This window comes from Homo sapiens, chromosome 10 (genome assembly GCF_000001405.40).
Source record: "Homo sapiens chromosome 10, GRCh38.p14 Primary Assembly".
Lineage (NCBI taxonomy): Eukaryota > Metazoa > Chordata > Mammalia > Primates > Hominidae > Homo > Homo sapiens.
In genome coordinates this window covers 50,651,362-50,665,689 of record NC_000010.11, presented here as the reverse complement: position 1 = coordinate 50,665,689, position 14,328 = coordinate 50,651,362, and the positions used below count along the sequence as shown (strand labels likewise).

General features: G+C 42.3%; 1 pseudogene, besides 2 other annotated features; it reads right to left on the bottom strand.

Moving 5' to 3' along the window:
* On the bottom strand, positions 1,744–7,587 carry BEND3P1 (BEN domain containing 3 pseudogene 1; annotated as a pseudogene).
* Positions 5,070–5,119: an enhancer, noted in NCBI's record as "active region_3373". NCBI's record gives its function as "activates an Ori minimal core promoter by ATAC-STARR-seq in GM12878 lymphoblastoid cells {active_cell/tissue: GM12878}" and the evidence as "EXISTENCE:reporter gene assay evidence [ECO:0000049][PMID:35858748]".
* Positions 5,240–5,319: an enhancer, noted in NCBI's record as "active region_3372". NCBI's record gives its function as "activates an Ori minimal core promoter by ATAC-STARR-seq in GM12878 lymphoblastoid cells {active_cell/tissue: GM12878}" and the evidence as "EXISTENCE:reporter gene assay evidence [ECO:0000049][PMID:35858748]".

The window sequence follows — 14,328 nt, the reverse complement described above, 5'->3', positions numbered from 1 at the left end:
TGTGCATACAAAGTTGGAGTTTGTATGTATGAATTTAGGGAGTTTGAGCGGCTGTATATGTATTAGGGAGGAAAGCCACCACATATGTTTGTGGTAGAGTTGGAGTTTTGTGTATAATGTGAGGATTCTTTTGGATTATATGTGTTCTAGACTGTGGGTAGTTTATGTGGATATTCAGAGTATGTGTAGGGAGCATGTACATGTATTTGAAGGAGGGTAAGTTTATGTGAAGTATGTGTTGAATTCTGGTGGGATGAGGCATGTGTGAATTCATAGCTTCTGCAGGTTTTATGCAGCTGGCCTGAGAAGGTTGGAGTGTCTAATATATGCATTTGGAGACTGGGAGTTGGTGTGTCTGTGCATTTATTTGGATCATGGAAGGTTGTAGATGTGTATTTCTAACTGTAGATAATGGAGGACACATATTTGGGGAGTTTTGAGAGGATGTGTATGTGTGTGTGTGTGCAGTGTGGTATTTCTCTATGTTTTGGTGGGTGGGGTATGTATCCATCAAAATATCTCAGATTATCTGATGTAAGAAAATAATTCTGCATCTCAGTGACTTCCAACAAGGTAGGTTTCTCATGTATGTTATGTGTCCTCCATTGGTTGGCTTTGATCAGTTACTGGTCCTGTGCCTTGGATCCAGATGGATGAAGCGGCCTCATTTGGGACAGGACTAGAAGGACTTCTTCTGCTCAGAGTCATACATGGCATTTCTGATCACATTTCATTTGCCATAACAAGTCATGTGGCCATACTCGAGTTAAACAGACTAGGGATGTATAATCTCTCAGACAGAGACACCACAGAGAAAGACCATGAATACTCTTCATAGTGATACATCTGCCCCATTGTGTATACATTCAGAACATGTTCCATTGCTGTGTTTATATTTCACTAAGGAGTATGGGGAGTTGATGAGGGAGTGTGTTTAGGTGTGTGAAGGCTGGTGTGTGACAAGGGAGGCATTGGCAGGTGTGGGATATTTTTATACTAACACATTTTGGGGATTTGTATCTGTTTTGGGTATTTGTATTCTGTGTCATGTATATGTGTTATATATTTAAGATATATATTTATGTAGGTAGGTTAAGTATTCAGTGGTGTCAGAAATGTGTTTTTAGGGGAACATGGGTGAGTTTTTAGTATATTACAGAAGCATAGTGGGTTTTGGGTTTATTCTGAGGGTACTGGATAGTTATGTGTTCCTATTTGAATGGTGTGTGTGTATTTGCGTGCTGGGGGTGGTTTTGTGTATTTTGACGGTTCTGTGAGATATTGTGAATATGTGTGCATACATTTGAAAAGGCAGGTAATGTTCTATGTTTTAATGGTTTGTGTGTTGGATTTGTGTGTATTCAGAGTAGAGGACTTTATGCTCACGGTGTCTAGATGAGAATTTAGGTGTACATTTTTGGTGTGAAGAATTTGGAGGCAGAGAGATGGCTGGGTGTATTTGGGTGTTACCACTATGTGTATGTAACCTGAGGATATGGACAGAATATTTATAGTTTTCAAGATGGAGGCTTGTGTATGTTTGTATTTGGGAGTATATAGCCATGTGTGTATTTGGATCTGTGAGTATATCGTGGGTGTGTTATTCAGGCATCTGCATGTTTGAGTTTGTGTAATCTGAAGAGTGTGAATTTATTCAGGAAATGTGGTGGCTGTGTGTCCACTCTAGAGCTGTGAGTGTGTGGTCTGTGCTTGTACCAGGAGAGTATAGGATAATTTCCTCTTTTTTTCTATTTTTATAACATTTTATGTAACTCATAAAACAGTGTTTGTATAAAAATTCACACAAAGTTGCTAGAGAGCATACAATTTCCAAAAATGTCCTGGGTTTTTCATTACATTAAGTTTTTCTAACGATGCACTCAAATCAATGGTAAAATGCAGACATTATGTGATACTTCATTGTCTTTAGCAAAACTATTCTCACTACTTTGTCTCCTCACAGTATTAACTCTGATACCCACTTTGTGCAGGGTTTGCTAGTACTAGGATGTCACAAAACCATTAAGGCTGGATCTACAAGAGGCAAATATTTCCAAACAGCAGTAATAGCCCCTTGGCCCCCACCCCCACTTCATATATCCATACAGTCTGTCTACACAGTGAGGCAGGGTGCAAGCTCACAACCTCCACTTGGGAGTCTCAAGATCCCCCCTCTATTGGGTGAGAAGCAAACATTTGGGGGGAATGTTGGAAACTGAGGCCATCTCTACAGGAAACCACGTGGCCATGCTCTAGTGTTTTTGGGCCAGCGACCCTTACCAATTAAACGGCCACTCAGTACATTTATAACTATCTTCATTCTTTAAAAACTTACTAACAGAGAAACCAATGAACCCTACCACCTACTGTGACTTACTAGTTCACTCAACATCAAAACGTGTCTGCTAATTTTTTAGTCCTTGGGATACAAGACAAAAAAAACAAACAAACAAGTAAAAACCAAAGAATTTAGACAGGGGGAAGGAAAGGGATTGCCAGTAGATTTCATGGAACACATTAAATTTTGAAAAAAATCAGTATTTTCTACTTCTATTGCTTCGTGTAAAAAGTTTAAAATTAAAAAAATGCCCACTGGAGCCACCTGTATGGATGGAGAAGTGAGGACATAATATAGACAGGGCACAGGACCTGCAGTCATTTCCTGATGACAGTCCAGAGGCACAGGAATAGTTCCCAGGATGTGTCCATTTCTCTTCACAGAAAGGGACTGTAAGATTTTCAGGGAAGAAGCCCTACACGAGAAAGGTGTTAAGAAAATCATCACTGAAATATGGCTTCCAAAAATTGAGCATGCTCTAGGTTACAAACAGACATATTTAATTCCTAGAACTTGTTGAACTTCTCTGACATGGGTAGATGGGAATTTCAAAAGAGTTATTAATAATTGTGCTTCTAAAGTTGCAGGGTCAACATTTCACCCTCTAGAAAGCAGGGCAATTCAGGGCTTAGAGTCTTCTTGTTTACATCGTAGAAACCAGAACAAATTTCATGGGACCCCTCACCCCCAACAACCAGCGGCCAGGTGGAGAGAAGGCCACAGCTGTCTTTGGGTAGGGCGCCTGTGTGTGCATGCTGTGTGCATGTGCTGGAGAGACTAAGGCATAGAGAAGGGCCCAAGCGATGAGGTAAAGTGAGTCTCCTGGCTGCGCTAGTCCCTTCTTTCCAGGCACAAAGAAGTTGAACTTGTTATTCATGTAGGCCCCCTTCCTCTCACCTCAGCTTTTAGTAAGCAGTGTGTGTGTGCATGAGTAGCTGTGTGTGACAGAGTAAGTCCCTGTGCCTTTCTAGATTTCAGTAATTCAGGTTTGCAGTTTCAACAGAAATAATCTGTAAATGACACAAGCAAATTTACAAGTTAGATTAGCAACTTTACATTCCTTAAAATCTGATGTTATATTTTTAAAAATGCCTCTGGGTACAGGCAAAATTATGTCATATGGCCACTGGAACTGAAGTCCTTACCAGCTATATGAAGAATATTCAGATTGTTTCTGTTATCTCTGCATTTTAAAGTAGCAAAATACTAAGCCATTAGGTTATTGAACCTGTAATATTCCCACAGGGGTTTTATGTCTACCCCATGGGATTCAATTAATTTTCCTGGACTCTGGTTAGACTGTTTCCTTTCCCTCTTAGGCATTTGGCCCCCAAAGTCAGGAAGGTAAAAGTGTCATTTTTAAAGATTTTACCTGTCAGGGAATTTCCTTGTTGGTGCTCCTGGAAAGCATGCAGCTGGCCGGCAGGAGTCTGACATTCTCAGTCAGTGGGGAGAGAAGACATGTGTCTCCTAAAGCCAAGAGGTAGCCAGGTGGAGGACAGCAGGACTTTCTAGGGAGTCCAAGGGGAAAGTTCTGAGTGGACTCTGGGAAGGGACATGGGTGCCCCATCTGAGATGACCTGTGTCCTTCCAATGCCTGGTATCCCCAAGAGGTGCCCAGACATGGACCCGCCCTGGGGAACGAGGATGTGGTGCTGCCTGGAGGAGCTAACACTGAGGTTTGGGGAAGTCACCACACAGCTCCCAGAACCCAGAATCTCCGACAAGCAACCATGTGTGGAGAGGGAATGAGGACAGTGGAAGGACACAGCTCAAATGAAGACACTGCGGACATGTTTCCATGGCTTTCTACATTCTTCATCATCATCAAGTGTTCTCCTCTACACAGTGAGCACAACATTTTACCCACGTGCCTGATGGACAGGCCAAGCTGAATGGAAGACTTCTGAGGCACTGGAGCAGAAGGGAAAACTTGCACATGGTCACAAAGGACTTCACACTGTTCCATCCCCTCTACTGCCATCCAAGAGGCCTCTTGACTCTTCCAGAATCAGATGTAAAAGACAAGGTCAGTAAAATCAGTATCCATGCCACCTGAAGCTGTGATTAGGCATTGTACACGAACATGGCACTTTTATTTACTTATTTATTTATTTATTATTTATTTTGAGATGGAGTTTTGCTCTTGTCGCCCAGGCTGGCGCTCAGTGGCACTATGTTGGCTCACTGCAACCTCTGCCTTCCGAGTTCAAGTGATTCTCCTGTCAGCCTCCCGAGTAGCTGGAATTACAGGCACCCACCACCATACCTGGCCAATTTTTGCTTTTTTTTTTTTTTAAGTAGAGATGGGGTTTCACCGTTGGCCAGGCTGGTCCTGAACTCCTGACCTCAGGTAATCCACCTGCCTTGGCCTCCCAAAGTGCTGGGATTACAGGCATGAGCCACCGCACCTGGACTGAAGATGGCACTTTTAAAAAGATTTTTTTCTAAGTAAAATGGCCCCCAAAGAGCCCAATGATTTTTTTAAGGGTTTATTTTTAATTTTTAAAAAACTGGATAAAAATGAAAGCTGTAAAATATGGGAAGAGGAGCAAGAGAGCTGCTGAGTTTGCATTTGAAATTGTGAGGGGCTGGGGAGGACACGACCAGGTAGAGAGGACCGCTACCCACTAGTCCCTGCTCTCACAGCTTGCGCTCCCCACACTCAGGCTGCACCGCCAGGGAACACAGGACAGAAGTCTAGAGGACAAGAGACCAAACTCAAGTCTTCTTTCTTGTGGTTGGTTGGGTGTTTACATGTGCAAGTGTAGTAAGCCACACACCCCACGGACATAAGGTGCCTGTCTGTGGATGCCATAGGCATGCTCCTAAGCTCAGTCTCTAGTGACCCCGAGTCTCTGGGCAGGCCATGGGCCTTCACTTCTCCACTTTCTAGGCTTTCTTGAGGATGCCGCATTTTTTCCTGTTAGGGCAGTGGCACTGCTCATCATTGCTGGGGATACATTCGCAGTGCCACACCTCCTCCACCTTCTCCACGGGGTAGACGGCTTCCACCTAGTGGTAGATGAGCCGCAGCTGCGTAGGGTCCAGCTGCTTCTTGTTGCAAGCCCGGAAATGGTTGTACTGCAGCCGGAAGTTCTCGGCGGTGGAGGAGCCCCGCGGCAAAGTTGCCCACGGAGAGGCTCTGCTGCACGATCTCGCGCACCTCCTTGTCGGACAGCAGGTAGGGAGAGCGCACTGGGAAGCTCGGTGAAGGACCACCACCTCATCCAAGGGGATCTTGCAGAAGTCCTTGCTGCTCCTCTCAGGGGCAGCGGGGGACCCTCAAACTCCTCCCTGAACCTCTCAGGATTGATTGCATAGCTCCTCATGTTTCTACACTCGGGGCCAGCACGTGGACCTTGCACTGCTGCTGGTAGGAGCGCCTCTGTTCGTGTTCCAGTGCAGGTTGCCCATGAACTCCAGGGTCCAGACGCGATTGTTTTTGGTGCAGAGGTAGAGCAGGTGCACTTAGTGGCGAATGAGCTTGATGCAGGACGGGTCCAGCTGCTTCTTGCCCAGGGAGTCGCTGCAGCTGTACTGCTTGTGCAGGTTGTCATGGGTGAAGAGCTTGGGGAACAGGGGCACCAGCAGGCGCGAGGTGAAGTTGCCGATGGACAGGCTGCTCTCCTAGATACTGCGAAGATGCTCGTTGCTGAGCAGGCAGTCGGCGCCGGGCAACTCCAAGTTGGGCTGGGGATCTCCAATTTGTCCAAGTCGATAGGTACCAGTCAGATCTTCTTGGAGCGGCACCGCTCGCCCTTGAAGCTGTCCTCCACCCTGATTACTGAGATGTCATCGGGCAGGCTGGAGGAGTTGTAGCAGTTGTTGCGTGGGGGGCTTGCCTTCGCTGCCCGCGTCCAGCCCCAGGCCCTGGAGCTTGTCGTTGATGCACTGGGCGCACCGCTGCAGCCAGGCCTCCTCCTCCTGCATGTGGGGGAAGTAGACCTCCGTGTAGTTGCTGATGATCTGCAGCCTCTGCGGGTCCAGCTCCTGCTTGCCGCCGTCCCCGTAGCAGCTGTCCTGCTCACCCAGCTTGCTGTAGTGGAAGAGCTCAGGGAAGAGCCAGTGGAGGAGGAAGACGGCAAACTCACCGGGTGAAGAGGCTTCATCCAGGAACTAGGTGAGGGCCTACATGTCCACCACGTGGTCTGAGGCGATGGTGCTGCTCCTGTCCAGAGACAGGCCCTCCTCCTCATCTTTGTGGTCCAGGAAGTGGCCGGGGTCCACTGCTCAGCCTCAAGCTGGCAGCCTGGCCACCAGGCTGGCTGTTCTCCATCTCCCGCTGGGCCCAGAAGCGGCTGAAGAACTTACTCAGCTGGGGCAAGCACTCGGCCTGTCACACAGCCCTCTCCTTCACCGAGGGGTAGTAGACCTCCATGTAGTTGTGGATGAGCTGCAGGTGCAGTGACTCCAGCTTAAGCTTGGCCTCAAAGCTGCAGGCACTGCAGCCTTGGGAGAAGTTGACTGTGGCTGAAGAGCTTGGGGAAGAGCTGCACCAGCAGCCAGCAGGCCAGGACCCCACCTGACAGGCTCTGGTCCAAGATCTGCTTGAGCTCCATGCCCGTGAGCTGCTATGGGGTGGTGGGGGTCGGCTGGAATTTGGCCACCATCTCAGTGGGGTTCACCTTCAGGGAGAGCAGGTCCACTTTGCTGTGCAGCTGGGACCTGTTGGACGTGAGCGTGTTGAGCATGTAGAACATCTCCTGGATCAGGAAGTAGATGTTAGGGTCACTGTTGGTGGCTGCCCCAGTGCTGCCACAGTCCCATTTCTATGGCTCATTCAGGAGCCTAAGCAGCAAGGGGCTGTTGCTGGCATTTGCCTTCTGGAAGAGCTCATATGTGTTTAGCAGGTCCCCTGAGGGAGGGTTCTTCTTCTCCATGACCTTGTGCAAGATGCCATACAGAGGCTTCTTGTAGTAAGGGGTGGTGGCATGGTTGCGGGGCTCCTCCTTGCCTGCCCACACAGAGCCTGAGCTCCTGCCTTGCCAGCCTGCTCTCCATTGCCTTGGCAGGGCGAGCTGTTCTTGGGTTCCACATGCCTGCTAGGAGCGCCTCTGGGATCAGCTACCTCCTCTCCACACTGGGGATGGAGTCTGGCTGGCCATTGCTGACCAGCTGAGTCCTTGAGGGCAGTAAAGACGCTGTCCAGAGGGTGCTTCTCAGAAGTCCTGGAATTCACGGAGCAGCCTAGAGCAGCATCTTTGGCCTCTGTCTCCACTCTCACTTCTTAGAAGTTCTTCTACATCAATTTTTTTTGGAGATGGTTCTGACTCTGTCACCCAGGCTGGAGTGCAGCAGTTGATCAGAGCTCACTGCATCCTTGACCTCCCAGACTCAAAAGAGCCTAGCTACTTAGGAGTAGCTAGGACTACAGGCCACGGCCACCATGCCTGGCTAATCTTTTAAATTTTTTGTAGAGGCAGAGGTCTCTCACTGTGTTGCCCAGACAAGTCTCAAATTCTCGGGCTCAAGTGGTCCTCCCAAAGTGCTGGGATTAATGGCGTGAGACACCGTACCTGGCCATATTTTTTTTTTTTTTCAAAAAATTCATTTGTAGAGTTTAAAAAGTATCTTTCGATCAAGAGTTCTTATTGTATTTATGTTTGCAAATTTCATTTCCCATTCTGTTGCTTGCCTTTTCACTCAGTGAGTTATTTTATGATTACAAATCCCTATTTTTTATGTTATTTTATTACTATTTATTAACCTATTTATCTTATTTACTAGCCTTCAATAGTTACTTTTTGAGTCTTTTTTTAAATCTTAAGGTCATAGAAGTGTCCTCTGTATTACTTTTTAAAAACTGTACTGTTTTATGTTACACATTGGCTTCTATATGAAATAATTTTTGTGTATGTTGTGAGGTTGGATGTTAATATTCATTTTTCTCTGTACCGATGTATGAAAGACACCACAATTTATTGAAAATGAATCTTTTCCTCATTGTACTGAAGCACTATTTTTTTCACAAATCAGCTAAATATATTGTGTGGTTCTCTTTATGAGCTCTCTATTCTGTTTCATTGAAATATCTATACTTGCACCTTTTCCATAATGTCATAATTGATATACATTTATAAAAACTTTATATCTAATAGTGTAAGTCTTCACATTATATTTTTTCTTCAAAGTTATCTATACACTGCATTTTCATTTGCATTTTATAGTCAGTTTTTCAGTTGCCACCAAATATAATGCAGACAAATTATGCTATTACTAATCACAGTATTGTGATTTTCAGTGTATTACAAATATAGATTTATTTAAAATACTGAATCTTTCTTCTAATACCAAGAATGACATAGGAACATGGTACACCTTTATTTCTGTTGAATATCTTTAATTTCTCTCAGTAAAATCTCACAATTTTCAGTAAAGGGATTGCATATGCTATGTTATATTTTATATTAGGAATTCAATGTTTCTTCCTGGAAACATTTCAGATTTTTAATATTTTATTTGATTTAGACTCACTATATTTGGAAAGCTTTAATTGTAATTTTATTTTTAATAGATATAGAGCTATTCGGATTTGCTATTTATTCTTGTGTCACTGTTAATGATTTTCTAGAAATGTATCTATTTCATCAAATTATGTCAAAATTTTTGACTTAAAGTTACTTATTACATTCTCTTTTTCTATCCCATGACTATAGAATCTATAATGATTTCCTTGTTATTATTGATGATATTTAGAATTTGTGGATACTCTTTTTTTTTTTAATTTCACGCATAATCATGGTATATTTTTATCAGTCTTTTCAAAGTAACTTTGGCTTTTGCTGATTTCATTTATTTTATGATTGTTTCCTTTTCTCATGCTTCTTATGTATCTTCTCTTTTCTAATTCTTTGGATTTAATTTGACATCACATTTTAAATTTTTGAGATTGACAATTAGATTATTAATTTTCAAGCTTTAATTTTTTAAACAAGCATATGCATTTATCTCCAAGCTGAGGTTTGCCTAAGCCTCCCATCTTTTAACAAGCAGTATTTTTACTTTCATTTTTATTAAATTCAAAATATATTTTAATATTCATTGTAATTACTTTTTTGATGCATGAATAACTTAGAAATGTGATGCTTAATTTCTAAACATTTGGTTACTTTCAAAGTCTTGCTATAGATTTGCAGCTTAATAACATTGTTGTACAAAAAAACACTGTCAAGGATTTCAAATTTTTGGTATTTATTGATTCTTGTTATGGGCCTAACCTCAGCCTATATCTGTCTATCTAACCTATCTATCTATCTATCTACCTACCTATCTATCTATCTATCTATCATCTATCTACCTAGATAGACAGAGATATCTATAGATAGCTATGGTAAATTTTGAAACACGTTCCAAATACATTATAATAAATTGTGTGTTTTGCTATTTTTGGGTGCAGTTTTTATATCAAAGTATTTAATCCTACTGCTTTAAATTTTTGTATTATTATTGATATTTTGTATCCTTTTTGCTATCAGTTATTGAAAAAGGTATATTAAAGTCTTTATGATCAAAGATGCGGCTATTGCTCCTTTTAGTTCTATAAAAATTGTAAATGTGTGTTAACTCTGTGTGAGTGAATATACATACACAAGTTTGACAACTTCCTCAATAGTTGATTCTTTTATATGGATGATGGATACATCTTCCTTTCAGGTAATAATTTCTGCCTTAAAATCTCTTTTGTCTGATATTAACATAGCTAAACAAATTTTCATTTGGCTTGTGTTTGATTACCTTTTATATGCATATATGAAAGGTTTTTAAATTAAGATAGTTCTATAGATAGAAGATAGAAGATATATAGATAGAAGATGGTAGATATCTTCTACAGATATAGATATGTATATGTATTTATATACATATATAGGTATATTAATATTTATATGTCTATATCTGTATACAAATATATATATGCAGATATCTATACATGTATATCTATATAAATATCTACATGCCGATATATATATCTATGTGTGTATATGATATCTATGTCAATGATGTAGGAAGAGTATTATGTCCAATATTTACCAGGAGTCATTTCAGATAAGCAAGAGGGTTCTGGTATACATTTTCTCTTCCTACTCACTAAGGATCTACCAAAGCAAATCATTTGTAGAACAAGGAAAGTTATAAAATTCTCTCTCTCTCTTTTTTTCTTAAGAAAACTGGGGAAAGCCCTTAGACTAGCTTGGCTAGGAGGATGGTTTCTGTTCATATATTTTCTGGTCTGGTTTTCTCTTCTGTCATTCATGGTTTTTGATTATTATATTCTAGGTCATTGACTCCTGGCCAATCATTTCGCAGTTGTGGGAAGGTCTCCATTGCTACCTATTCCAAGTTCACTCTATCCATGGTATCTTGTCTTTCATGCGTATGCTCTGTGAAATTTTGGCTTCTGGTTCTTCACCCCCATGGAACAGGTTCTGCTTTCCTTTCACTGTGTTCTCCTCAACTACTCCCTGTGCTGCTCAGCACTGTCTGTGCACCTTCTTCTGGGGCTGCTTGTCGCAAGAGGGGTTAATCCTTCTAGTGTTTGGAATTGGGGTTTGGAATCACTTCCAGATTGAGAGTGAGATGAAAAATAAAATATGTTGTGTACTAGGCAGAGGAAGTAATGGTACTTCCTGGAGGTGAGATGACATAAGGGTAGGGAACACTGGGATGCACTGCCCAGATGTCTCTTCAGGAAAGACTTATTCTCCTTTAGGAAAGACCAAGTCTCCTGAGGACTTACTTTCCTTGCTGCTAGATGATAGCTCTCTGGGTCACTTCCGTTGGGGCATTGCCTTAGTTGCAGATAGACTCTTTGCCTGAGGTCACAGCCCCTGCCTTAGTTGCAGATAGACTCTTTGCCTGAGGTCACAGCCCCTGCTGGAGGCCCACAGCCAGTGGCTGATCGACAAGAGGTATGAAGGTTGAGACCTCTCTTGTCCCCAGTCAAGTCACCTTGGAAGGGTTATCTTATTTTTAGAACTCCCTGAAGGATCGCCTGAGGCTTTGAGGCTGTGCTGCAGTTCAACTACTAGCTCTGCTCCATCCTGCTTTCTTTCCATGGGTGTTGACCACATGGGAACACCCTAATAAACCTCCTACACATTGGTCTCCATCTTGGAGTTGGCTCTCCAGGGAGTTCAATGCTGTGTTATGGTGTTACACACCATCACTGATTTTTTTTCAACCATCTCCCAGCAATCTTGGCATGTTCTTTTATTCAAATTGTTCTCCCAACATTTTCCCCCATGAGAGCCACAAAAAAATGGAGGATCTGGGCAGATAATTAAGGAAGGCACTCAGGCATTAGGTTAAACAGGCAAAGTTCACTAAGGGAACTGAGGGTTGAGTATGGGAAGTGCGTTCAGTAAGAATCTGCTAGAACCAGGGTAAAGGCAAGGGCTGAATCAGCAATAGATTAGCATTGAGTGTGGAGCTTGTTACACATCTTCTGGCTAAGAACAGGTTTAGCCTCAGAGTCTGCGGAGCCAGAAAGGAGAAAGAGGAAAGAGGAAAAGGTCGGAGGAGGGAAATTTGGAGCTTAGAGGTCAACAGGTTAGAAATAGAGACAGGAAACTAGGCAAGTGATAACACACACACACACACACACACACACACACACACACACACTGTATTTGGGAAAAGAACTGAGCTTAAGGAGGACTACACCCTTGAAATAGCTTCCCCTTTCAAGGTTCTTCTCTGCAAAATTAAAGACGACCTTTTTTATTAAAAACCTCCTGACAGAGATTCCTCACATTCATTCTCCTAACATACATTATACACGGGGAACAAAGCTGCAGGAAACATAATGGAAACAAGAAATATAAATAGCTAATCTATATTTATGAGCACAGGAAGGAAGTGTCAGCCAGTGTCAGGAAACAAGAAGGGGGATGTTAGGGTCCAGAAAAGGAGCAGGTAGAGGAGGCTGCTGACTTTGCTTAGTTCCATCAGGGTTGGAGAATTTGCATTTTGAGTGGGTCCAGCAGATGGTGCTGCTCCAGTAGAGAGCAGGAAAATCGTTTTGTATGTTTACAATTCTGAACGAATATGATTTGTAAAATTCCAACCCTATCTCCTCAGACATTAATATATGTACAGACACTAGTGTTTACAGCAAATCCTAATCTTGGTTTCATCAACTATCTGGGTCATTCTTATTTCGTATAGTAGCAATGCTATTGACAAGTTTCATGATCTTCTCTTGCCAGTTCCTCCCAGGATGATGGGATTTGGAGTCAATCCTGCAGTAATTGCTGGCACTATCACCTGCTGTCTTGTGTGCTTGCGTGATAGTGCATCTGAAAAACATCTTCAGAAATGCACTGTTAATGCTTTGTCTGTTTCTATAAATATACTAAGGTTTAAGTATATACCTAATTGTATATAAGAGCCATAGTAATATGAATAATATTACACAGGCAGGAAATAAGTCAATAAGTCATTAAAAGGTCATTGTCTTAGTGTGCTAGGGCTGCCATAACAAAATACTATAGATGGAGTAACGTAAACAATAGACATTTATTTTTTTTCATGGTTCTTGAAGCTGGAAAGTCCAAGAGCAAGGTCTGGCAGCAGTGTCAGGTGAGGACTCTTTCCCTGGCTTGCAGATGGCTGCCTTCTCACTGTGTTCTCAAAGGGTGGGAAGAGATCTCTCTCTCTCTCTCTATCCCCTTCTCTTTCTGTCTTCCTCTTTCTCCCCTATCCTGCCTCGCTCTCTGACACTTCTTACAAGATTACCAATCCTATCAAATTAGAGCCTTACTCTTATGACTTATTTAAATCTTAATGGCCTCTTAAAGGCCCTATCTCCAAATGCAGTCACCTTGGGAATTAGGGTTTCAACACATGAATTTTAACAGGACACAATTCAGTCCATTGAAATTGCTAAATATAAAAGGACTAAAAACGTAGCTGTGCCGGTAGTGGTAAAATGTGGGAACCAACACATATTTTCATCAGACGCAATACTCATTATCCTTGACTCTAATCCTAAATTGTGAGAAAATAAATTTCTGTTTATTTTTAGAAATGACTGAGAATTTCCAGCCACCAGGTAGTTTCCAAAATGTTTCTTTTTCCTTTTTTGTTTGCTTCCAATTTTTTAAAAATTTCATACCTACAGAGAAGTTGAAAGAATAAACATCCATATGTAGACTCACCACCAACTGTTCACATTTGGCCACATTATCTTACTTCTCAATCACAGGCTTTCAGCTTGGAATGTAACTTAAAGGATGTTTGAGTCAACTTTCATTCTATACACAATCTCAGTACAAGGGGTCATTGGCCTCTAAGATCTCTGGTGATGAGGAACTCAGCTATCTTTGAGTTAGCTGCTTGTGTTTTTTAGAGGCCTCTGGTTGTCACTAAGTTTGTGCTTAAACTGAAACCTGGCCCTCTATAACTTCCACCAGCCGGGCTTTATATAACCCTTCAGCTAGACAAACACTAATTCTAGTTCCTTTCTTATACGATAGCTTTGTAATGTTTGAAGGCAGTACACATGTCCCCTTCTTTAGTTTGAAAAAAAAAAAGACTAGCTAGCTGTGATTCCTTCATCCATGCCTTATTTGGAGTGGTAAGAAGTCTTTACTTGCTTGAGTAGTAGGGTCACATATTTACAAAGCACCACTGAAATTCTATAAGACAATGAGGCTTCTTGATTTGCTCTAATGGATGCAATCTTTCTTTACTCACTCCAGTTGGCCCAGTCTCTTTGGGGTTTGTGGAAATCAGGAGTCCCCCAGGACAACCCTCAGGTTCAATAATTGATAGAACTCACTGAAAACTGTTATACTCGCAGTTATGGTTTATTACAGTGAAAAGTAAGAAATGAAAATCAGCAAAGGGAAGAGGCATGATGGGGCAGGGTCCAGGAGAGTTGCAAGTGCAAGCTTCTAGTTGTCCTATCACAGTGGAACTCTAGACAGTGCTAATTCCTCCCAGCAATGATGTTGGGCAATACGCACAGAGTATTGCCAGCCAGGGAA